At 36.0% G+C, this 26,246-nt stretch overlaps 1 protein-coding gene across 5 annotated transcripts in view; it reads left to right on the top strand.

Moving 5' to 3' along the window:
* The window catches only part of KCNH8 (potassium voltage-gated channel subfamily H member 8), a 387,133-nt gene extending 361,802 nt beyond the window's left edge, over positions 1 to 25,331 (top strand). For 4 of the 5 annotated variants that reach the window (XM_017005698.3, XM_017005700.3, XM_017005699.2 and 1 more), the window contains 5 exons: positions 52 to 90; positions 2,659 to 3,014; positions 5,008 to 5,117; positions 7,687 to 7,763; positions 23,084 to 25,331. In XM_017005698.3, coding sequence (XP_016861187.1) covers positions 52 to 90; positions 2,659 to 3,014; positions 5,008 to 5,117; positions 7,687 to 7,763; positions 23,084 to 23,788 — 1,287 coding nt within the window. In that variant the 3' untranslated portion in view covers positions 23,789 to 25,331. The remainder of the gene's footprint in view (positions 1 to 51; positions 91 to 2,658; positions 3,015 to 5,007; positions 5,118 to 7,686; positions 7,764 to 23,083) is intronic. The other variant, NM_144633.3, reaches the window with a different exon arrangement.
* The last annotated feature ends 915 nt before the right edge of the window (positions 25,332 to 26,246 follow it).

Consider the following 26,246-nt stretch of genomic DNA (forward strand, 5'->3'; position numbering starts at 1 on the left):
CCAAACCACCAGGATATGTAAAATGATTAATACTTCTGTTTGTTCTTTCAGGTGATATCAAGACTATCAAACAAATCTATGGTCTCACAGGTATGGCTTTTGCTACACAGCAAAATATTTATCTAAAATCTGGAGGATTACCAATAAATCTGTCTTGTCTTTCTCTTCAGAATTTCATGTATTTATCTTTTACTTTCCCTACTTGACTTCCCAATAAGAGATGTGGCAACTGACTTGCTTGAGTTTGAGTATAGAGGAGAATTGAAACTCATAGTTCTATGGGAGCATTTTATAGTTATTGTTATAAAGCAGTTTGTTACCAAAACATGCCAAATGTAAAGTCCTAAGGTGTTAATCTTAAAAGTACTTTCATTGCATTTAAAATTGGCAGTCAAATTTTTTCTTGTAAGTGTCCATAATGCTAAAAATATGGTTGAGAGATATTCTGGAACCATGTTTTATGATTCAGTCAGCTCTTAAAACAGTTTCAACTTTTAAGAACTCTCTAATTAATTTCAAGAAAAGTTTCCCGAAAAAACTAATTTGTTAAGATTATTAGCTGGACTTTTATTACCAATAATCCTGTGACACAGAGGCACGCAAATAGATTAAATTACCTAATGCATTATGAAGACATTAAGAATTTACTGAAGATGATGGTGGAGAAGGGTCAAATAGGGTTTACTTTTTATTTTAATTATACTTTAAGTTCTGGGTTACATGTGCAGAATGTTCAGTTTTGTTACATAGGTATACATGTGCCCTGGTGGTTTGCTGCACCCATCAACCTGTCACCTACATTAGGTATTTCTCCTAATGTTATCCCTCCCCTAGCCCCCCACCCCCCACAGGCACCAGTGTGTGATGTTCCCCTCCCTGTGTCCATGTGTTCTCATTGTTCAACTCGCATGTATGAGTGAGAACATGTGGTGTTTGGTTTTCTGATTGTGATAGTTTGTAATGTCGGCTGCCCTGATTGTGAGTCAATATCTAAGCAACTTGTCCAAGACACCAAGTCTCCATGACAAAATGGAAGTATGAAATTTCCACAAACTTGTAGAAGTACAAATACTTGACAGGTTATTAGAGAATTCAATTAGAGCCAATAGAGGCTTCTTGAAACAAAGGAATGATTAACTTGCCAATGCAAATGTAAACAGAATTCTAATTAGAGAATGCGCTCATTGTTTCTCATTTCTTAGATTAAGTTTGCCCTGTTGTGTCTTTAGCTGGGTAAACTGATTTTTCTATCCAACGATGCTAGTATACAAATGTTCCCCTGTAATTCCGTGTAGGCCCAATTTTTGTTAAAAACACAGAGTTTTAAACGCTGTGAAAAACAAACAAGAGTAACATCATGACTATCCCAGCAAAAAAAAAGTATGCCCTCGTCATTAATTAAAATAACCATACGTATTTGGAAAGATGAGTCTAAGAATGCCATTTCTTCAAGAAATTTTGAGCCAATAAGATTAAAGTACAAGAACTTCATAAGTAAACTATGCATTTCACTCAGCACCTATGGCCTAAACTGAACGGGCTATTGCCTATAAGTCACTGCAATGTTAGATCTGTTATTATACCTGTAATATATACACCATATACACCAAAAAATCCGTATACACCAAAATCCATATACACCAAAAAAAACAACTATTCATTTAAGTCAATAACCATGACAGCCCAGAGTCTGAATAGTAATCTTAGGGATTTTCAGTTCTTTGCCTTATTTTTATTATAAATTATTGATGATCAGATATAAGGGATTCAATTTTCAAAAAAGACAGAAGCACAGAAAAGTGAGCAGAGAAGCCATGTCTGGGGCAAAGCCAGAAGCACACACTATTACAGTGACTCTGTTGAGGGCCACTAGTTAGCCTTTGCTGCGTTCACTGCCCTGGCCCTTCCATCATCACCTCAATTGTCTTTTCCCACACTCTTTCTTTCCTCTTCTTAGTCTACACAGTTGAATGATCCCAGTCAAGAGTCCAGTAGTTACAGGATGGGTTTTGGCAAGACTATTTTTCCTTCCTTTTCCAAGGCTTTTCAAAGGAAGCAGACCAGGTGGTTTGCTTCTTTTCTTGCTAGTGACTGGAAAGAACAAGGAGAGCAGGAAGTAGAGTAGCTGAGAATACTTCTGATCTTCTTCCATTCATGTGATCCAAAATAGGAAAGCTTTTTATTCTCAAGAATAATGCAATTTTGCTGGTTAATCTCCATGTAAAGTTCCAGTAAAGACCCTGTAATTTTAAATAACAAGGCCTAAGACCCTCCATTAAAATGGAAAATGTCTTTATTTCTAAGAGCATGCCATCATATACTATTACAAATGACAGGCTGATTAAAATCTAGTTGCAAACCTGGTATAATGCACCTTTCACGTGGCTCCCCATGAAGACAGTTTAAAAGACCAAGAGAAAGGTTAAAATCAGGGGCTAAAAATCAAGAAAGCATAGAGAGTAAACCTGGAGAAGAGCAGAAGTGGGAAGACCTTTAACACCTGATAAAATAATAACAAAATCTGCAAAGACTTCAGTTTTAATGAAAAGTAAGTCTCTAAGAGATTTGACTTTGTTCTAATGAGACCTCCAGCATTAATGATATACCTTTTCTGCGGTTTTTGCAGTCTGTACTAATTTATATTATCCACTGATTTAGTCAGAGCCCAAGGGAAATGGCAACATCAACAAGCGACTCCCATCCATTGTGGAAGATGAGGAAGAGGAGGAGGAGGGGGAGGAAGAGGAGGCAGTCTCCCTCTCTCCCATCTGCACAAGGGGATCTTCTTCGCGCAACAAGAAGGTTGGAAGCAATAAAGCCTACCTGGGCTTAAGCTTAAAGCAACTGGCCTCGGGAACGGTGCCCTTTCACTCGCCTATCAGAGTCTCCAGGTCAAATTCCCCCAAAACCAAGCAGGAAATTGACCCCCCCAACCATAATAAAAGGAAAGAGAAGAACTTGAAATTGCAACTTTCAACTTTGAATAATGCTGGACCCCCAGACCTCAGTCCAAGGTAAGAGTTCATATCATATAACTTTCTCACGTGAACGTGGCTGCCTTTTATACAGAGTAGTACCTGCCTTCAGCCTTCTGAGCCTTTCTACTCCACAGATTCCTAGCCTGGAATCCTCAGCTTTTCTGAGTTTTGTGGGCAATTTTTTGAGTTTATGTGCAAGTGTGTGTGTGCATGCAGGATGGGCAAAATATGTTCTCAAAATACTAAATGTTCAGAAATCCTTCTTTACTCCTTTTATTCATTTTGCACTACCTATTATGTTAAATGTATATTCCTACCTTGTGATTTTATGATTTATAGTGAAAATAAAAGAAATGGAACAAACTCCATCAATGTTATCCCCTCAATGCTTGATCTTACCAAAAGTTTCATAAGCAATGAGTTGAAATTAGGAAGAAAATGAAATGCAGATTTTTATTTTTCATACTATTCTTGCCTTATTATCAAGGACGGCTAAAACTTAGTTTTATTTCTGGTCTCTTCAATAAGTAACACAGCATGGTTCCATTTTTCATTTCTTAAAAATCACTTTAGAATCCACTAAAGGTGATTGAAAGCGTGAAAAATCCTGATTCCGAAGATGTTCAGGGGTAGGCCATGGTGTAGAAAAGCAATAGCCATCATCAAAATCACATAACAGCTGAATAATAATAAATAAAAGCATGAAAAAAATATGTATTACTTTTTATGTTTCATGTATTTTGCGAGATAATTTCACATTCACAATTGCATTTAATCTTCTCAGAACCCTATAAAGTAGTTTGTGTTATCTCTATTATAAAGTTGCAAGAAGTGAAACTCGAAGGGTAAATATTTTGTCGAAGATCTCAGAGATATTAAGTATTGAAAGGTGGATTCAAAGTTTGTTTTTCTACTTATAAAGCAAGTGGTCTTTCTCAAATACTATATTTTTATTATTTATTTGAACAACATTCTTATTCATTAAGATAAAATATTAAGGAAAAGATAAAATAGGTTTAGCAAAAAGTAGGCGGATGATATATTTTCAAGAATTCAGTTGGAGATGGTAATTTGAAAATATTGCTTAACTCTTCTTCCTAAGTTTATACTAAAATTAAACATAATAAATTATAAATAGGAAGAGACTGTATTGGAGCTGAGAAAGGTTTATATACAACATAATCTTACATTTATAAAAAGAATATATGTTCTTTATAGAGAAAATAATATTTTGAGGACATACATCAAAATCTTGACTATAGTAGTAGATTACAGGTGATTTTTATTTTGTTTTTTTGTTACCTTTATGTTTAAATTTTCTACAATAGACTTTTTTTTTTTAAATAATGAGTGGGTTAGATACTATTTACCATGAAAAGAAGACTAAATACTGATTTAAATATAATTATTTAACTCTGACATTTAGAGTTTTCTCTAAGTCTAGAGTAGAGGTGTAATCAAATTTATTTTCTGTGATGCTAAGGGTTAAAACCTGGAGAGTAGTGATTTAACATGAATTTAGGTCAGAGGACTTTTGTACCATACCTTAAAGTTTTGAATCTGAGAATAAGTAAAAGAGCCTCTGTCTACAACAGTAGTGTGTGATAAAAAATATAATGTGATATAAAATTGTGAGCTACATATATACTTTTAAATTATCTAACAAACAGCTACATTTTTAAGCGTGATAAAAGTGAAATTAATTTTAATAATATATTTTATTTGACTGAATATGTTCCAAATATTATTTTAAATTTGAACAATATAAAAATACTCAGTGAAATAATTTACATTTTTTAACCATATTCTTCAAAATCCAGTGTGTATTTAATTCTTACGGCACATCTCAATTTGCACAAACCACATTTCAAGTACTCAATAGCAATATAAGGCTAATGGTTACTATATTGAATAGCTCAGCTCTAGAGCATCTAGAATTTAGAAATTTAACATAATATCTTTTAACTCTTTAAAAATACTGGAATCCATGAATATGAATCCACAGCCAGCCAATTTCCTTTATTTTAAGTAGGATTGTTGATGGAATTGAAGATGGAAACAGCAGTGAAGAAAGTCAGACTTTTGATTTTGGCTCTGAACGAATCAGATCAGAGCCCAGAATTTCTCCTCCTCTTGGAGGTAAGATCTATATTTAGTCTTCTCCTAAGGTAAAATATTTCTTATTAACTTGTAATGTTTGTTATGGGCATTTTTTTTTTTTTGCTTTCCTGTCCTTAGAATATTCTCCCTGTCATAGAACCTTACCAATACCATTGAATAATTTGACATGAGTTTATGCCATTTCCAAGTTAAGATGTCATTTGTGATCATTTCTCTGTCCAGATTGGATGAGCTACCATTTAGCAGCGAAGGTAATTGATATGCCAGGAGACTCAAATTTCTGCTATTCATTAGAGGATGGCCATGTTTTACTATTATAAATTTAGATTAATCCATAAAAACATTATCTAGAGGAAATGCCATGTTGATTGTGCACTGAAGGAACATTGGTTATATTTAACCAGTTTATTCAGTGTGAGGTTATATACTTGAAGTTTTCCAGATGATAAATAACTTCGGAAAGGTATAAGCATGTTGGAAATGACGGAGAACTATGTGATGTGTTAACCTTTAGTGATGGTGAATTAATGTGAAGGTACCTCCAACTCTAGCCCAAATCCCTCTCTTTACTTTTCAATCTTGAGTTTGTTGCTCGTAAGAATGATTCTGTCAACAAGACAAATAAAATGACAAATAAACTCTAAAGAAGACACACCTGTATTTGATAAAAAGAGAATAGTGAACATGTGTTGAATAGGCAGAGACAATCCAAAACAATTACCAGCAAACTACCTAATGCAAGGCCAGCAATCCTCACCCAACCTCCCCTTCCCTTCCCACCAAGTTCTAAAATCCTTGTATTAGAATGTCTTGGTAATTAGCAAATCCCTTTATGAACAAAGCCAAGCCCAAGAAAGACATTTGAATATACAGTTCTGGAGATGTTTCTCTGGTAGAATACCAGCATTTCATCTGAATCAGTAATTCTTTCCAGCACTCATCATCTTCTTGGGAAACTAAGGGATACTTGTGAAATTCCTTGATTGGGAGTGTGAAGTGAGGAAAATGCAAAAGGATAAGGAGTACAGTCTTGATTTATTGATTTAACTGACTTACATATGTTGATATTACTGTGCTTGGACCAAGGAGCAAAGAAATCATAGTTATCATCAAACTGGTATATTTGCAATAAAAGCCTATTGACACCTCAATTGGATGTTTACCTTTTTGGTTCAACTAGAGACAGTGCACAGAAACTCACCATTTCATCCACATATTTCTAGTCCTACCACTCTCTTAGCTTCCTCCTCTTCCTTAACCTATCACCTACCCCTACGCTTACACATTCAAGCATCAAGTTTTCTAGAAGCAACTTCCAAAATATCTCTTAGTTCCCTCTAAGACTTTCTACCATTACTGCTACCACTCTTTCTCTAGCTATATCTATCTCTTGCTTGCATTGCTACCAAAGTCTTTTCTTTGACCTCACACTGTTTTCCATGCAAAGGGAATTTTATTAATTCAAATTTATTTGTATTACTCTATTCCTATGCTTAAAACCCTAAAATGGCTTTCTATTGCCCTTAGTGTGAAATTCAAACCTATTGCATAATTACTTTATATAAGTTATTTTACTTTTTTAGTAGAGATGGGATCTCCCTATGTTGCCCAGGCTAGTCTTGAACTCCTGGGCTCAAGGAATCCTCCTGTCTCAACCTCACAAAATGCTGGGATTACAAGCATGAGCCACCATGCCTGGCCTACTTTTTAAATGTTTATTTTTCCTGCTCAATTCTAAGCTCCATGAGTGTCAACTATATTTTCTTTATTGGTTGCTATCTACTCTAAAAGAGGGCTGGCCTATTGTATATGACCTTCAATCATTCGTTGAATGAATGGATTACCTCTGCAAGATATATCTGCAAAACAATTTCTTATTACTCTATTTCAGACTGTTTTGAATTACTTTTCTTCCCCCACCAACAAGTTTTCTCCTCATAATTGACCAGAATTAGGATGGTCTTATCTGTCAAATCTTTTCCACTCAAGCTGGCACTGACTCACCTGTACTCTTGTCCCTGACAGAAATAAATATATTTGGAAGAGCAAAGTAGAGAAAAAGTGGAGAAGAAGAACTAAAAACTGGGAGAAATTACCCTTTAGAGTGATGCAGGAAGAGAAAGGCAACCTGCAGTGGATATCAGTATCTGATATATATGTGGGAGGAAAATATGCTCATGGGCACATGAATCAATGTTTAGAATGGAACGAGAGAAGAAAAATAATATCCCTTTTCTATGGCTTGAGCACTGACTATGATACAGTTTTAAACAATGGTCAAAGAAAAGAAAATGTGCCATCTTGGAACGTGGTGGTGACTGTACTCGGGGAAATGGGGTGTTTGCAATGGACACATCCAGTCACTGTGGGTGCAATCACCACCATGATGTGTGTCCAGAGAGTATATCTGGTGCCATCCAGAGGAATACAAAAAGCTTGCCTGATCCCTAAAAGACAGTACAGTGCACAGACATCAGAAAAGGTTAAAAGTGATAGCGTGGACTTTCTTTCATATTCTAATTGCCTCGATCCTCAAATATAAGGTTTATTCCTAAAGGACTCATTCTGTATGTGTGTCACTTTTCAGATCCAGAGATTGGAGCTGCTGTTCTCTTCATCAAAGCAGAGGAGACCAAGCAGCAGATAAACAAACTCAACAGTGAGGTATGGAGCTCTTTCTTTGGTCATGCCTAAATGGTAAGAGGAGATATAAATCCTAGTTACTCGCAGAAGCAGTGTAATATAGTAGTTACAAGCATGCATTCCAGAATGAGACCACCATGGGTGAATCTCTGCTCTGCCTCATGTAAGTTGTGTGATCTCTGACAAGTCACTTACCTTCTCTCAAGCTCCACTTCCCCATGTGTAAGAAGGGAAGAATAATAATGCCTGCCTTATGGCCCCTTGTGAAATTAAATAAAATAATCTAGGTCAATCATTTAGCATGAAGTGTCTTAGATATATGCATATTTGGTTTAATTGGTACATTTTAAACTTTTTTGTGACCTTCCATTTTTAATGAGCTAAAGCAAGGTCGTAAGTTCACAGAAGAATGCTGTTTCTCAGTGTAGTCAAATGGCCTGAACTCTGTTCTTTCCTCTGACTTGTATTTGCTTGTGTCACCTTGGGTACTTTACCTCTCTAAATCTTACTATCTATTCATTTTTAACAGTTTTATTGAGGTATATTTATATATCATAAAATTTGTCCATTTCACCAATACAATCCAGTGAGTTTTAGTAACTTTATTGAATCCATCATCTATAAATCAGTTTTAGGATATATTTTCTTCCCCCAGTAAGATCTCTTATACTCATTTTACAGTTAATCTCTATTCTTATGTCCAGCCTTAGACAACCACTTATCTACTTTTTATTTCTATAAATCTGCCTTTTCTGGCAATTTTATAGAAATAAATACAAAAATAAGATACTTTCTTGATTACTGTCTTAATTGGGGTCTCTCTCATTAAAATAAAATAAAACAAGTTCTGAGACTATATGGGTGCAAAAGTTTATTTGAAAAGTGATACAGGAAGTATAATTAAAGAACAGAGAAGTAAGACAGAAAAGGAAGGAAAGCAAAACAGAAGGATATGTTAGTGAGACAGTTAAACTTGTAAACAACTGGGGCTCAATCCCACTGGAGACCTCTGAGAGACTATGTAGGACAACTCAAAATTATTCAACCAAGGAGCAAGGAAAAGTGGAGTTGAGGCTCTTCAGGCAGGCCTGAAGAAAAAAAATTGCTCAGGCGAGAATATGCAGCAAAACCTGTGCCTATCTTTGGTGTCCAGGGTAGACCCAGGCAAGGGCATGTGGGCAGGGACAGACAGTGCAACAGAATCCTTTTCTAGGAGTAAAGTCTTAGTAATAGTTGATTTGATGACACTTTGGGGAAAATGTAATCACGTGATGGTATTGATGAGATTTATGAAAAATGAAGTTCACATAACTTCCAGTTATCTGTAATAAGGGCAGACTGAGTAGCTTGTCATAAACTCTGCAGGTTTCTCTTAAACCTGTGTTTCTTCAGCTTCGTGGAGATTTATGTTTTACTACCATCTCCCTTCTGCACCTGCCCTCTCTGGAGCTGAGATTGTTGCTAATAAGAAGTAAGAGAGCCGAAGGACCGACTAACAAGGCAGAAAAGGAATACTAGATGGTCCACTAACTGGTTTGAAAATACTTAAATCACAAAGACTCAGCCATGCACTGGATCACCCAAATAACCTCTTGTTAAAACAAAAAAACAAAACAAAAAAAACACCGAAACCCAAAACAAAACTAATGCAACTCCCCGTTGGAGAACTGGATGTTAACCTTCTGTTCAACAGTTTCTTTTCAGATACTGCTCTTAGCTAAAACCACCCATCAATACCATTTGAATTCTTTCCTCTCATATTTGAGAAGGGCATTTAATAATTTTAAAAACTGACTGACCTATATCTTAGTTCAAATATTAGAGTTAGTGATTCTTCTGAGAAAAAATATCTATATGTTCACCTTTAGGAATGTAGATAATTTTTCCAAGTTAGGGCTGTAAATCCACACAGTTTGTTATTTTCCTTTGACAATGTGAATCGGGTAGATCCATTAACAAAAAAAAAAAATTACCATTTTAAAAACAAAATATCTTCCCAGTATGATCCTGTATTCACGATTTCTTTTCTTTTTTTTTAAATTATACTTTAAGTTCTGTGGTACATGTGCAGAATGTGCAGGTTTGTTACATAGGTATACACGTGCTATGGTGGTTTGCTGTACCTATCAACCCGTCATCTACATTAGGTATTTCTCCTAATGCTATCCCTCCCCTAGCCCCCCGAGATGACACACATCTTTTTATCTTGTCAAACATTTAAATAAAAAGGGAAAGATAAAATATCAAGGTCCAACTATTCTTTCCCAAAGAATTAGGTTTTCCATAAAGGAAAATATCTGATTTATTCTTCGTCGAAGATTAAGTAGAAAAATCTGATCCTTCACACATAATTTAATTTATACACAGTTTTGACCCTTTGGATAGTGCATAAAAACCCACTAAGATGGGCAGAATAAAAATACAAATGGACTTCAAACTGTAAAATTATCCCTCTTCTAACCTATTTTTCTCTTCCTCATCTTTCTGTAAAGAGTTTATATAGAAAAAAAACTTTTTAAAAGTCCAAGCCTAATTTTACCATTTTGCCTATTTTCTACTAGTAACATGTGTCATCATTTGATTGCTTTATTCTTTGTTTTTGCTATTATCTGGTTAATAGCAAGCAAGAGAAGAATTGATAATAAATGTGGGATGCACTGCATGAAAAAAACTCTACCACCAAAAGGACAACCGAAAATATGTGTGATACATGCCACACAGACTGTGGGCCTTTGTGTGAGGTGTCAGAGCGCTGCAGAATCTCTATTCTGATATTTGTTTAAAGATTTAAGACATAAAGAAAGTGTTCATCAGTGTGTACATTTCATAATCATAATCTGCAAGCTAAATACAGAACTAAAATCTGAAAAGTAATAATATTGGTAATTACCTACATTCACAGAATAGTTAGGAGAGTTTAAAAGATGTGGGGCAGCTGCTAATATTAGAACGCTTTGACCACATTGCCATTGCTTTACAGCATAGTATGAAATAGTGCGACTCTAAGGAAACTCTTTGAAAATTACAAAAATGTCACAATAGGGCCATGGGCTGTGTAAGTCAAATGCTCCACTTCTGAAAAGGTTTGTAGGTGAAGGTTAGAGTGCATTCTCATTTCTGAAATCTGGCTGACCCAGAAAGATACAGAGGCAAAGCTTACCAAGGGAGACTGTGTGCTCTGGCACAGCAGGCAGAAGGCATAAAACACACTATGGAAGAAAGAGAATTCACTTTGGAAAGAGACAAATATTTAGATTCCTATTCTGTGATTTCAACAAGGTGTTTACTTTCCCTAAGCTTAGATTTGTCCTCTATTAAATGATAATAATAGAACCTGTAATCAAGGATTGTTGTGAGAAGTTAATATCATATGTAAAGCACTGAGCACAGTATCTTCCCTTAATAAGTGGTCAATAAATGTTGATTCCATCCTCATACAAGGTTATGCTTTGATTCAACAAACGGTGACTCTCATATAAGCACCCTCCTTCTACCTAACAGTGCCCAGTAGAGTAATAAGTGAGAGAGGATCAATGTTTTTAGAATAAAATGAAAATGAATGGACCTAAGAAGAACATATTTGGTTATGAAAATCACTATTTTCACCTAAGAGACTTTTTGCTATAAACATACTCCATATGAAATTAGAATAGAAAACAAAATGGCAGATTAATGATATTTCAAAGCATCTTATCTTAACTAGTTTGATTGTAATTGTGCTACTGTATTATTTTTAAAAAACATTTATTCTGTAAGACTTATGGATTGAGTAGCAAATAGATGCATATACTAGTTTAACAATGTTTAACCATTACCTGATATTACAATAAACATATAATTGGCAAAATGATAATAAAAACCAGATGGAAAATAACCTGCCAAGCTTAACAGAAAGGTAAGCATAACCATATCTGCATTTATAAAGTGAGAGAAAACAGGTAGCTTGTTATTTCATCCTTACTCACCCAAGCGTGCTTTGGTTTAAATACTCTACTTGCTGTATTTTATCATTTTATTTTGTGTATATGTAAAGGGGTCAGAGTTAATATTAGGTGATTTTAATCCATCTTGAATCTTAAACATACTATGGAGAATAAAATGTGTAACATGCCTAAACAAAAAAAAAATGAGCTTTGTAGAAACATAGCAACTTGTATTAATTGATTATTGAGGCTGAGAGGTCTCATGATCTGCAGTTGGCAAACTGGAGAACCAGGAGATCTGATGGTGTAGTTCCATTCTAATTCCGAAGTCCTAAAAACCAGGAGAGCCAGTGGTGTCAGTTCCATTTCGAAAGCCAAAAGGCTTGGGACTCAAAAAGAGCTGACTTTTTTTTTTTCAGTTCAAGTCCAAAGCTAGGGAAAGACCAATGTTTTAGCTCAAACAGTCAGGCAGGAGGAGTTTCCATTTACCTAGACTTTTTGTTCTATTCAGACCTTCAACTGATTGGATGAGGCCCACCCACATTAGGGAGGGCAGTATGCTATATTCAGTCTACTGATTCAAATGCTAATCTCATCCAGAAACACACTCAAAAGACACACCCAGAATAATCTACCAAACATCTGGGCACCCCATGACCCAGTCAAGCTGGCATACAAAATTTACTATCACATCCAACAAATGTCTTCTGTTTGTCAGTCCAGTGGCTTCCTCTACAGTTGAAGTCATTGGCCTGTTTCAATGTCTAAACTGCTTTGATGGGAATAATTATTTTCCCCTTTAGCGATATAATAATTCTTCTTAGGCTCTGATTGGATCTAAAATTTTTTTTAAATTTTCCCATAGCAAAAGATGTCATGGTTTTCTTTGTGAGATAAATTAAACACTTTCTCAAACTCCAGAATTTAGAAAGTATTTCAGTTTTACCCTTTACAACTTGGTATAGTGTAAGTTACACATATATATGTATATGTGTGATAAGAACCAATATTTGAGAGAGCTGAGTTCAATTACTGAGGCTCACTACTTTGCTGGGAATCGGAGTGATATGGGGTTGTTTCCTATAACACATTAGCACGTTGTTAACTTTAAGTGATATGAGAAGACCATTCGTATCAACTTGGGCTCTAGCATTTTAGAGACCAAGCTCTTATTGCTATTGAGTCCAAAAGAAAGGCCTCTTTTTTTAGGAATGACTGTGTTTGCATTACATTTCATAATTGGATAATAGGTCAGTCATGTCCTTTAAAAATAGATATTACAGAAATGTCCTTATATGCACTATTATCCTAAGGCTTTAGAGAAAATTATTTTATATCATCACTATGACCTAAAAGTTAGATTTCAAATTTAATTTTGTAATATCAGGATCTTTTAGCTTTATTTTCTCATTTTCAACTCCTCAAAAAGTCCAGTTACTGTTTCTAACATATTGAAGAGTCCTGCCATTATCAGATAAGCACTGTTATAAGATAAATTATACTGAGGTAACAAACTCCAAATTGATTAAAATTTATTTCTCGTTCAAGCAAAATGCCTAACACAGGTCAGCAGAAGGGGCTGCACCATCTGGAATGTCACTGCTTGGCTGTTTTCCATTTGAAGCGTGGAGCACAGTTGTTCGGTTTGAAAGATAAAAACATCATTTCTGTCGGTATTTTATTAACCAGAACTAATTCCATGGGCACAGTTAATTTCAATTGGAAAAGAAAGTGTAAGCTTTTGTATATCCTAAAAGAAATAGAAAACTGGATACTGGCAAACGCTAATAATATCTACCATAGCACCTAAAAGCTATTAGGAAAATTTTGTTTCTCATTTAATTTTGCTCAAAATTCAATTCCAAATATCCCCCAATTTAATGTATTATATATTATCAAAGTAAAAAAATACCAGCAATGAAAGGCCTTCCACTGGAAAACAGAGAAAGAATCTGAGTTGTTGTCTAGGTTATACTTGACAAAGCTAATAGATTAATGAAATCTCCCTGAGTCAAAGAGATGGAATAATAAGAGAGGCTGTTTTTTATTTAAGAGTTGCTTTACTACTTTTCTAAATGCCTACAGAAGAAACAGGATACTACTAATATTTCACATAAGGAAACCTGCATGAGTAATATCTTAAGGTAAAGTTGATTCCTTAGTCCTCTGAATTAGTGTTGCCATTATATCTTTTCATTGACAATTGAGTCAACTGAAACACACTGACAGAATTGTCAGGTCATTCCAAGATTTGTCTATATAGGCTTTTTTCTTCTTCATCCTGATCATATATAGTTCTTGATCATCAATTTTCAAAGCAAAACATAAACAAAGACTGTACATTCACTTTTTGACCTAGAACGACAAAATTCAATTAACTGCTGGCAAAACCAACGGTTTTTCTTTTAATTTTTAGATATGTGTTATTGATGTTAATACTACGTTTTGTGGACATAGGCTTTTAACCTGGAATGTTTCCAACTAATTTATGTTTTGTAGAACTCCTTTTGGTTATTTTCCAGTTCTTAAGCCTGTATAAATAGGCAGATTTATAACTCTCATGAGAATTTTACTGACTTTAAAAAATTCTAAACAACAATGTGGATCTCTCAAAAGAAAAAAAAACGTATGTCATTCAGAAAGCTTCTCCTGTGAGGGGTGGATTTAAAATGCATGTAACTTTTGGAGACTGGTTGTTTTCGTCCTCTTTGCTTATGATTGCTTATAGATAGGACTCTTCTCATCTTTGAATAGAAGGACTAAATGGATATATCAGTAAGGGCCCAAGTAAAAACCAATGTTGCATTCCAAATGGGCAATTTTAGCATGTTGAATTAAAAGGTTATTTACAAAGAAGTTAGTAGAGTATAGGCAAACCACAAGGGGTAGAACCACCCCTCTTGATAATAACAGCAGAAGTTCACCACAACTCCTAGGTCAGAAGGGGCCAGAGTAGAGAGCAGTTACAGAAACATGAGTTAGAGAAGGCTGGGTGGAAAAGGTCGGTTGTCAGAAGCTGTGCTCTTTTGTTTTGTAGTGACATAGTGACTACAGTTAATAACAATGTATTGTATATCTGAAAATTGCTAAAAGAGTAGATCTTACCACAGAAAAAGTGGTAAGGATGTGAGGTAACAGATATGCTAATAAGCTCAACTTAGTCATTCCACAATGTATACATATATCAAAACATCAAGTAATATAACATAAATATATATTATTTTTGTCAATTTAAAAAATCAAAATAAAAAAAGAAATTTCAAAATATATTGGGGCTAAGGATCTGTCTGTAGAACATGAACTAGCAGCACTGGCATCAACTTGAGCTTATTAGAAATGCAGAATCTCAGGCCCCGCCCAAGACCTATCGCATCTGAGTATATTCTTTGTCTAAATCCCCAGATGATTCCTATACACATTAAAGTTTGACAAGCACTGTTCTATACAACCAGTATTCTGAGAGCAGACAAACTTTCATTTGATGTTTACTGATAGCAGTAAAGATCCCTTAGCCAGACAGCAATTTGAATACTAATCAAACTTTGTCACAGAAACCAGGAAAACAGATGACAAAAGCAGTCAAAGGGTTGATAAATAATAGATTACCATGGTACAGCTGAAGTAATGTCCAAAGGCCTGAGCTTGCAGAAACTCAACGAAGCTATTGAATCACTTTCAAGACTATAATTGGTCATTTTGTATTGGTAATGCTAGACTTGTAATTCTTCCCTAATTATAATTTAAGAGACGTCGGCTGCACCTGCAAAAGTAAAACCCTGGTTAGTAGTCCTGTGTGACCTAGAACAAGCCATTTTACCTTCCAACATTCTAGTCTCTCCAGCTGTAGACAAAGATTTACAACTTTTATTAGTAATGGGATTGAGGTCCTCATATGGATGAAATGTATGCAAGTGCTGAGTATGATTATTATTTTAGCTGACAGATAAAAAGACTATCACTTGTTCTGAATGCTTTGTAAAGCAAAAGACACAAGAATGAAATTATGCCAATCGTCTTTTTTGTTTTGCCTGCTTATGGAGTTTGTTTGAACATGTCTGAATCTTATGATAAATATGCAACATAACAAAGGATTAAATGAAAAACCATTTAATTTACCGAATCATAGCTTGTAAAAATGTATATGTATTAGTAGTGGGGCAGGGGAGGATTGGTATAATTAGTACCCCTTAGGAAAATTGTGTCTAGCAGGAAAATGTGTACATGTTTGGCAAAAATTGAGTGACAGGTCAAGAACTCTTCAAGCTAAGAAGATTATGTCAACAGATGCATTCCCCATCTGCTCACTGAATGCACAAAAATGGAAACCACATTTTTTCTCTGCCTATCAACGGAAGTTCCAGTTATACTCAAAGCACAAGAATTTTACACCAATCATGCCAATAGCCAAGATGGAGAAATATAAAACGTATGTAAAATGAAGTAAAGCTATTTTATATGATACTATATGTCATTTTATGTGAAATGAAAGGTATTGTCAAAGATAATTTTTCTCTGGTCTGCATTAGAAACTCATACTTCTGTTCCCAAAAGGCACAATCTAACCACACACCAGAACAGTAAATCTGTGTTTACACCAAAAAACACACAATCTAACTGTGGACACTGACAACGCATGGTGTTATTGGAATAATAGGTCACCAGTATCGCAGATAGATTATTTAAGCCATTTAGTAACACAATGTTTTGAAAGCTCCCATTTTGAAGTGCTGGGGACTTCCATGAGACGTGGATATTATATGAAACATTCTTACCTGCTAGAGATATACTGACACTTCTTTATCTTTCAGTGATATTTAGGGGCAATTGATGAAAGTGAGTTACTTAAGTTCAATTGAAAATAACAAAAAGTCATAAGAAATTCACCATGCAATTCACTATTCATTGAATGAATCAACAAAGATTTGTAGAGTTCTATTATGTGGCAGGATTTTTACAGGAGCTTGACTACTGTAAAGAGCAATAAATACATGTAGTAGCTGCCCTACCTGCCCCCCAGCTCCACATTGGTCCTTATTCAATTCTGATCAAAACCAGGCTGCACATCCCTACATTTTGGCTCACACATCCTTTATAGAGAATTTTTAATCCATCTGAATGCAGCTGCTCAAACTTTGGACTTGAAATACAGGACCTTAATCTACATTTTCCAATGGCATCAATTATTGCTGTTTCTACTTGCTACTGCGAAGATCCAGGCAAAGCAATACTAAAAATTCGAGACTTTTTCTTCTGATATTAGTTAAGTAAAATTGTTACTGGGAATGGCTTATCTCTCCATGCTAAGGCAGAAGAATAGTTATAGAGATAACGGTAGTTTCTATTTTCTTTAAGCTAAATACTTTCTGGATTAGGATTCCCTGCCTTGCAGAAGTTCTCTACCAAGCTTAGTGCCTGTGTCACAAATCCACTATCAAATTGAGCCACCTGGAATTCTGACAAGATACCAGTTACATGGGGACTAAAGTTTTATATCTGTTATATTATTTAATCCTCACAACAAGGCCCTTATGGAAATATGACACAGAGGAGGGTGAGAAGTAGCATTACACCAATAAAGCTGATTAAACATGAGAGGAGTAAACCAGATACTCCGGAAATGTAGGGCAACAATAACTATTTCTAAACCAACAGAAGTTCTGAGGAAACCTGGATACAGCAGAAATAGAAAAGCTGTGGTAGTCAGTGATTCCCTTCTTAGGGGTATGGAAGGATCAGTGTGTGGATTATCATGGCCAGTTGGCAAGTCAGTTGTCACATAGGTTTTTATTCATGACAGGGGATGTTGTTTAACAAGAGCAAATGCGTTGCCTGCAAAACATCTAATGATTTGTGTGGTTAATGCATGATGCTGGGAGAATAGACAAGGGAAGAATCTTTAGGTGCTTCAAAGTTTTTGGATACAAAACTGTACCACTTGGAAGCACAGATGGTGTTTTCATCACTTCTTTTTTTTAACAGTTGGGATTCTGGAAGAGATAGAGAAATCTTGGATGTGAACAATTGGTTATGCAGATGGTGATGATAAACTGGTTTGGCCAACAGTTTTAAATTCCAGGCTGATGGATTCTTATCCATGGAAGAATAAGAAGGAGAAGGGGGAAGAAGAAAAAAAGAGGAAGAGGGGAAAGTGGATAAAGAAAATGTATATTAATAAACAAATAAGAATGTATATTGTTATGTTTCCTTTATGCACTGTCTTTATAAATAGAATCTGAAGAAATAGCTATCCAGAGAAGCAATCAGGGATGCAAAATGTTAGCCAAATTTCAGTTGATAAACAACTCTTAATAACTTAATTGAATTCATCACTTGGCATTCATAATGTAGTTATGAGATCTAGGAATCAGTCATTGGGGGAAATTTCCCAGAGAATTAAAACTACCCATGGAAATCAAGTTTATGCTGGGACAGATGACAAAGCAATAAGACAAGTGAAATCCAGCAGAAACCTTGGCCAACGGAGACATATTTCTACAATTATGAAGGAAACACAATAAGGGAAAAGGGATTCTTAACAGTAGAAATACCACCTGCACTTAAAATGAAGGGATAGTCAAGGCTTTGGTTTAGGAAAGTTGTATATGTGAATTCTAACAGTCATACCTACTTTTAGTATATATACTTGGAATGAAGATGGCCAGTTACAGCTTTTCCAATACAATTTTGTATCAGGCAACTTTCCCCTAAAATATTTATGGTAAAATCATGATATAAAATAATATCAGAATCAAAGGCAATATAACAACCAAAAGTCCTTCAAAATGGAGGTATTGTATTTATTTTTACATTGAAGATTTGCTGAGTGCATGTTGTATTCTAGGCATTGCCTTGAGACCAGGAGATACTGAGATAACAGTTTCTACCCTCAAGGAACTCAACGACTAGTTGGTACAGTCTCATGTGATGCAAAGTGGTCAGGGTTAAAACTGCTATGTGAGTGTCAATAAGCCAAGGAAAGGCTCTGCTGAGAAAATTAAGTATTAAAAGAAGTTTGAAGGAGAAGATTTTCTTGCCAGACAGAGAAGGGCAGAGGAGAAGAGCCCGCAGTCAGAAGGAATAGCATGCACCAGGGCAGTGAAGGGTAAAGCTCACTGTATCTGATGGTGTGCAAGGGAGAAAATGCAGGACATGGAGCCATTAAAAAATAAAGTAGGGTTTGTGAAGGGCTTTGTATTACCTGCTCAAAAAGATTGTATTTTCTAATATGAGTGTCAGAAACATTTAAATATTTTATGCTGCTGTTGAGGTAAGTGGGAAAACTTTGGCTCATTTGATCAGAACGATTTTGTTTGTTTTAATTGACGTATCTCTTTGCAGTTAAGTTGTATTTTGAAGATGTATCTTCTTTTTTCTTTTAATTATACTTTTAAGTTCTAGAGTACATGTGCACAACGTGCAGGTTTGTTACATATGTACACATGTCTTCTTGAGTGGACAGAGCTTTGTTCACGAAGTAGCCCCAACAATCCTTTTTTAGCAAATGCATGTCTTCTTACCATGCTATGAAGAAGCACTTGAGCCACCACCCTTAGATAGTGGAAACACTGCATTCTTTGCCTTCAACATTTGATGAAGACTGAGGTCCTTCCTGTTTTAGAATAAATTTTGATAGCAAGCACAGCAGGAAGCAGTAAACAAAAATGCAGTAAAACTTGATGGCATTTTCTGTGGCAGTATGTTGTCACCTTTACTATCACCACAGTCTCTACTTCTAGGAAATGCCATCTCTCCTTGTGACAGCTGGCTTTGCCATGGTAAAAAGAGAGATCCCTTACTTAACACAATTAATTCCCTCATGCAACTTTAATAAGGTTCAGGGGTGTATCCCCAGAGACACAGTGACAGGAATCTTCCCTAACATAAATTGATTATTTCCCTCTAGAGTTAAAGAAACCTCTGTTTCCTTGAGTTACTTGCTCCTTTTAGTTCAAGCTAGGATAGTAATTTGTTTTCTGAAAATGTCAGTGCTTGTTTATGTTCCTGGATCCTGTCAAGACTCTGGATTCCCATTCTAAGTTCACGGTCTCAAAGTTGTGGCAAATGCATGGTAAGCCAGGCACAGAAAGACAAATATTCCACGTCCTCACTCATATGTGGGAGCTAGAAAAATGTATCTCATGGAGGTAGAGAGTAGAATGATGATTACCAGAGGCTGGGAAGGGAGAGGTTAGGATGAAGACAGGTTGGTTAATGGGCACAGAAGTACAGTTAGATTAAAGGAGTAAGTGCCACTGTTTGACAGCATAGTAAGGTGATATAATTAACAATCACTTACTGTATCTTTCAAAATATCTAGAAGATCTGAAATATTCCCAACACAAGTAAATGATAAATGTTTGAGATAGTGGTTATACTAATTATCCTGATTTGATCATTATACACTGTATTCATATATAAAATATCACATGCATCCTATAAATATGTATAATTATTATATATCAGTAAAAAAAGAATGTGTCTATGCAAAGGTATTTCAATCATGGAAAAATATCTGTTTATTTTGAAAACTAGAAAAATAGTTCATCAGAAATATGTCTATTAACATATCTGTTTCCAGTTCTTACCCTGAGGCAAACTATTTTTGCATTCATATAGTTTGCTATGAAGATATTTTACTGTGTTTAATCAGTCTCCTACATTTTTAGAGATGACGCTATTTACTTAATGTTGAATTAACATTTCACCCAGCTTTTTACTCATGAGGCTACCTTTCTGTGTCATTGTGCTCTTTACGTTCTGACTACATTAGGAAAAATCTCTCAATGCTTTCTTAAGCAATATTTCTTTTTCTACATGATAATATTCTATAGCAGAATGAATACCAAACTTAGAAGTCCTAAATTCTAGACTGAAGACTGTCATTCATGAAATAAGTGACCTTAAAAATGTCCTTTCACCTCTGAGTCTTATTGCTCCCATTTTACAAGTTGAGAAATGATAGTACATCCCTGCCTTTCTCAGCATTGTTTGTAGATCCAATAGGGAAAGTGTACCTGAAAGCACATTGTATAAATTTACAAACATACAAACATTTATTGAATAACATAATTGCTGATGTGCCTAAAATTCAAACTTATTCTTCAGAGACTGTGCCTTTATTTAATTCTCAATAAAAGGTCAATTCAAAGCATTTTTATTGGGAAATGAACTAATGTAGCCCTAGTGAGTTTCATACAGGAATTTAGCTTGGACAACCTATATGAACGGATGGCTAATGTGCCTCTTTAACCATCTCATTTAGTGGCAGCCTTGTCTTCTGAAATTATGACACAAGAATTAATCACTTTAAGATGGAACCCTTGTGAATGTAGGTAGTGCAAAGATCCTGGGGTAATGATTTAAGTGTGATTCATGTGCTTTAGAATTGAAGCTTGGCAGGTAATGAAATTGACAACCCATAGTGAAGATTTCAAAGCATATTGAATTTTTCTCATATTCATTGTTTCAGTTCTTAAATGTGAGGCTGAGAGATGTTGTTGTCTTCAGAAGTTTTAGATCTGCTGAAAAGCCTGGACAAGTATTCAGTTGAATCCCTTGAGTTTCATGCCAGCAGTAGGGCAGAAATAGTTTTGGCCTGGCAATTTCAAGGCAGGTGTTACCAGTTGGTTGCCCAAACCATGGAAAAACCTCCTTCTGGCCTTTTTAAATGCCTGACTTTGAGCAGTGTCACCTCCCGATGGACCTGCCAGGGAGAATTAGTTTCAGAATGCACTCACAGTAAGTAGACTGAATTAAGTTGCTGGATGAATTAGGAATATGTACTTAAATGTTGAAGAATGTCTGCCCAAAACAGCAGTCTTGAATGAATCTTCAGTTCAATGAAGTTGAACTACCTCTTTTTGTTTCCTGATTATATTTAGCCCATAGGTTCAGCTGCTTCTATTAGCATTTTGTGGTTCACGATAGTAAAATAAAGTCATAGAAAGTCCTTTATAAAAATACAAAGTATTATAGCAATGAAGGCAAAACATTACATTATGTTAGTATTATGAATCTAACCAAAGACTAGAAAATACATGTGTGTGTCCTGCTTTCTGAAATATGTTTTCCTCAATTTGAAGAATACAAATCTTTTAGAAAAGCTACGTTTAAGTGAAATTCAATTTTCTGGTGGTATTCCATGATTAAAATGCTGATGTGGTCGTTACGAAAATAAATTCTCTAATGAATGTTATTATGTATTTTAAGTATAAAATGAAGACTCTTCAATGGTTCTTAAGTGTTTGGGCCATGACAGCTAAATGTCTCACCTAGAAAACTGAATAAAGTACCTACAACACAATTTGTTGTTTTATAATTCCATGGGGTTTCAGGTTCACTGATGCGTTCCAGGACTCTCAGAAGCCCTGCAGTGCTTATCTCTACTTACGCACCTTGCAGGTCTTTTTCTTTCTTTCCAACTCTCATTCCATAGCTTTCCCTTTTTCTGCAAACTTTCTCTGTAGCAAATCTGGTATGAGTTATTTTGTAGCATCCTCACCGTTACTGAAGGCCACTTTGTCTCTGGCCTATAATAAGCATAGGCTTCAACCAGAAATGGCAAGAGTGAGACCTACCATTCACTAGGTGTCTACTCCAAATAGGTAGTAGTGCTTAGTGTGCTGAGTGCTTTACATGCAGTATCTGCCACTCCACATTGTTTTGAAGTGTCCAGTGATTTTTGTGCACTATCATGCATCCCATTCATCCAGGGGAAGCGAAATATATCATCAGTACTTTAGAGATGATGGATCTGTATCTCTCATTCTGTTTAAGAATCCCAAATCACTAATTAAGATTCCCAGACTACTTATGCCCCTCTAGGCTCTTTCAGAATGAGGATGTCTTTAGATCAGGATGTATGTTCATTCAAATGCTTAACCTACCCATTCACCCCTTGGGCTTGGTTGGAGTTGGAGCAGCCTTTCAGGCTTTCTTATTAAGAAATTTCTTTTTCATGGCTCACGCCTGAAATCCCAGCACTTTGGGAGGCCGAGGAGGGCGGATCACGAGGTCAGGAGATTGAGACCATCCTGGCTAACATGATGAAACCCCGTCTCTACTAAAAATACAAAAAATTAGCTGCACGTTGTGGTGGGCGCCTGTAGTCCCAGCTACTCGGTAGGCTGAGGCAGGAGCATGGCGTGAACCTGGGAGGTGGAGCTTGCAGTGAGCTGAGATCGTGCCACTGCACTCCAGCCTGGGCAACAGTGTGAGACTCCGTCTCAAAAAAAAAAAAAAAGGAAAAAGAAAAAAAAAATTTCTTTTTCACCAAGCAAATGCTAAAATGTTTAAGAATAAATAAGTAGGAATAAAAGAAAACCGAAAGAAATATCACTTCCCTGCTTCATTTCTCTGAAATGTGGTCACTACTATGCACCTCTAACTATTGTCTTTCACTTTGCTCTATCCACATAGGTAACAACATTGACTCAGGAAGTTTCTCAGTTGGGTAAAGACATGAGAAATGTGATCCAGCTTCTGGAAAACGTTCTGTCACCTCAGCAGCCATCACGGTTTTGCTCTTTGCACAGCACCTCTGTGTGTCCCTCCAGGGAGAGCTTACAGACCAGAACGAGCTGGAGTGCACACCAGCCTTGCCTACACTTGCAAACAGGCGGGGCTGCTTATACCCAAGCACAACTTTGTAGCAGTAATATCACCTCAGACATTTGGAGTGTGGATCCCTCCTCTGTGGGGAGCAGCCCCCAACGAACTGGAGCTCATGAGCAAAATCCTGCAGACAGTGAACTTTATCATTCTCCAAGCCTTGATTATTCACCTTCCCACTACCAGGTTGTCCAAGAAGGTCATTTGCAATTTTTAAGGTGCATCTCTCCACATTCAGATTCTACGTTGACGCCTCTGCAGTCCATTTCAGCAACTCTCTCATCTTCTGTCTGCTCCTCTTCGGAAACATCTTTGCACCTAGTTCTCCCAAGCAGATCAGAGGAGGGCAGCTTCAGTCAGGGAACTGTGAGTTCCTTCAGTCTGGAAAACTTACCAGGATCTTGGAACCAGGAAGGAATGGCATCAGCTTCTACAAAACCTTTGGAGAACCTTCCACTGGAAGTTGTCACAAGCACAGCAGAAGTGAAAGATAACAAAGCCATAAATGTATGATATTAGTGCCCATGATGCAGCAGCTAATTTCAAACCTACCACTGCATGACAGTTTTAGTTTGCCTTTTTGCCTCTGGTGGGCATGAAGACTGAGCAAAGCTGGGAATCCTGCAGAAAAGAGTGTGAGGAGCCAGGGAAAGGCAGAACCACCTCCATGCTGTAGCAAACAATTTCTAGATACTAGAAGCATAATAGAAACATTTTTCTGTACAGGTATTAAACTACTGGTCTGTTTGACAGACTTTGGTAACAATCCAAAGACCCTGAGGGTCTGAGCAGCTAGAAGTCCTAGACAAAGAACTTGTGGATGACTTTTGTCCCATGTGGCTTTTGTGAAGTATGGCAAAGGTTTTTCATGAGTGCCTGATTGTTATTCCTGAACAATATCCATAGCACTGTTGGCCTCAGGAGTGCACAGCTCCTGCTGATGTATTTTTCTTTTTGTGAAGGCAAAGGGACAATTATCACTGCATGTCATCTCCTAGACAATCAGTCAAATAGAGCTGGTGGCCAGTGGTTAGCTATTCGCACGTTATTTGCCATGTAAATGAAAACGTCTTTATTTATCAAAAAAACACAGAGGCTATTTTTATATCCTTGGTATGAAATATGTATTTAAACTATTTAAATATTTATAAAGAAATGAATGTTTTCTTTTCATTTTGGTAAAAAAAAAGCTTGCTGTTTTAACAAGAAATGCACTACTGTTGTGTATAGTAGATCAAAAATTATTTATTACTAAGAGGATGTAGTTTCCAAAGGAATCCCCCATTTTTTCTGCATGCAGTTTGCAACAAATGTATTCTCATGCTTCTGGATTATAAAAGAAAAGTGAAGTCATATTTTGTTAATGAAATAAAAACATGGACTGAGTGTCAACTACATGAGCTTTGGCATGGGGATAGAGAGGCTCCATCTAGGCTCTGCCAACTCATGTCAATGACATGATTTAAGGTCGTTGTGCCAGCAGAAATGTCTCTCCTCTAGGTATCGTATTTTGTTGCTCAAGAATCCAAAATGGGTCTGTGGACATAGGGCAATTTGGGGCTCAAAGTGAGGGAGAAAACCTGGGTGTGTCCTTTCCCAGTGCTTTTCTTTTACAAGAGGTAGTAGACTAGTGGAAATCCCCAAATGGAGCCAAGACTTCTGAGCTATAACTTGTGGGAGTAATACCAGCTTGCAATGGGTCAGCACTTTACCTTTTTTCTTTAAGGCTCCCAACAATGCTATACAGCGCAGTTGTTTCCATTCCTATTTTTAATAAATCTCAGGGGAAGCCTCAGAGATTACACAGTTAGGATGCTGACACAGTCTAGAATCCATAATGCTCCCTACATCTCACACTAACAGGCAAATTCAGATGCTGGGATTGGCAATGATTTAAGCACCTTCACTAAAGTCTTATTTTATGTTTTAGAACAGTTACAGTCTAATTGTCTTGGACATTTTGGGAAGATATATTGGGTTCACATTCTGGAGTTCTCTTTATTTTCCACCACAAAAAATAATCTGAGAATTGTATCATTAAAAGTATCTAAACACACCAAGACTTCTGATGTTGTATGAATCTTGCACCTTAAAACTGGCTAGAGCAGCAGAGAGAAAAGATATTTTTTCTAAGAAAAACAAACACAGGACATGTTTATAAGGCAGGTCACTCAGAACTCAATGCCTTCTACTTTCCCCCTCTCCAAAATTCGGTCTCTCCCTAAGTTAAAGGGAAAACTGAGACAAAGGCAACATTCTAGATTTCATGTATTCATTTGCATTCTCCCTTTTGCTCTTCTTGACCTATGTAATCATTTTAAATGCAGTTCAAAAAGAGCTAACTGGTGTTGGCTCACAAGTGTCCTTCTGGCAAATTACACTGCTATTACTAATGCTAACAAGAATAACTGGCATTCTGTTTCTTGAGTACTGACTTTGTACCAGCCAATTTTTAGGAATTAATATACATTATACTTCCTTATGTATTAATCAAACAGTGCTAACAGTTACTTGAGTTATTTGTTATTATTATCCCTATTTTACAAGTGAATAACTAATTGAGACACAGATTTTTTTTAACTTCCCCAGTCACATTATTTTAAATGATTGATAGACCCATGGCTGCTCTAAGTACCCCTCCCTTCATGTTCACACGCATGCTTGTTGATCTTTGGAACTTCTTTACTAATAATTACAATTGACCACTGAACAATGAGGGGCAAGGGGGCTGGCCCCACACACAATTAAATATTCATATGTAACTTTTGACTCTCCAAAAATTTAACTTCTAATAGCCTATTGTTGACTGGAAGCCTTACTGATAACATAAACAGTTGATTTACATATATTTTATATATTATATGTATTATATACTGTATTCTCACAATAAAAAAAGCTAGAGAAAAGAAAATTGTATTAAGAAAATCATGAAGAGAAAATACATTTACTATTCATTAACTGGAAGTGGATC

This window comes from Homo sapiens, chromosome 3, assembly GCF_000001405.40.
Source record: "Homo sapiens chromosome 3, GRCh38.p14 Primary Assembly".
Taxonomy (NCBI): domain Eukaryota; kingdom Metazoa; phylum Chordata; class Mammalia; order Primates; family Hominidae; genus Homo; species Homo sapiens.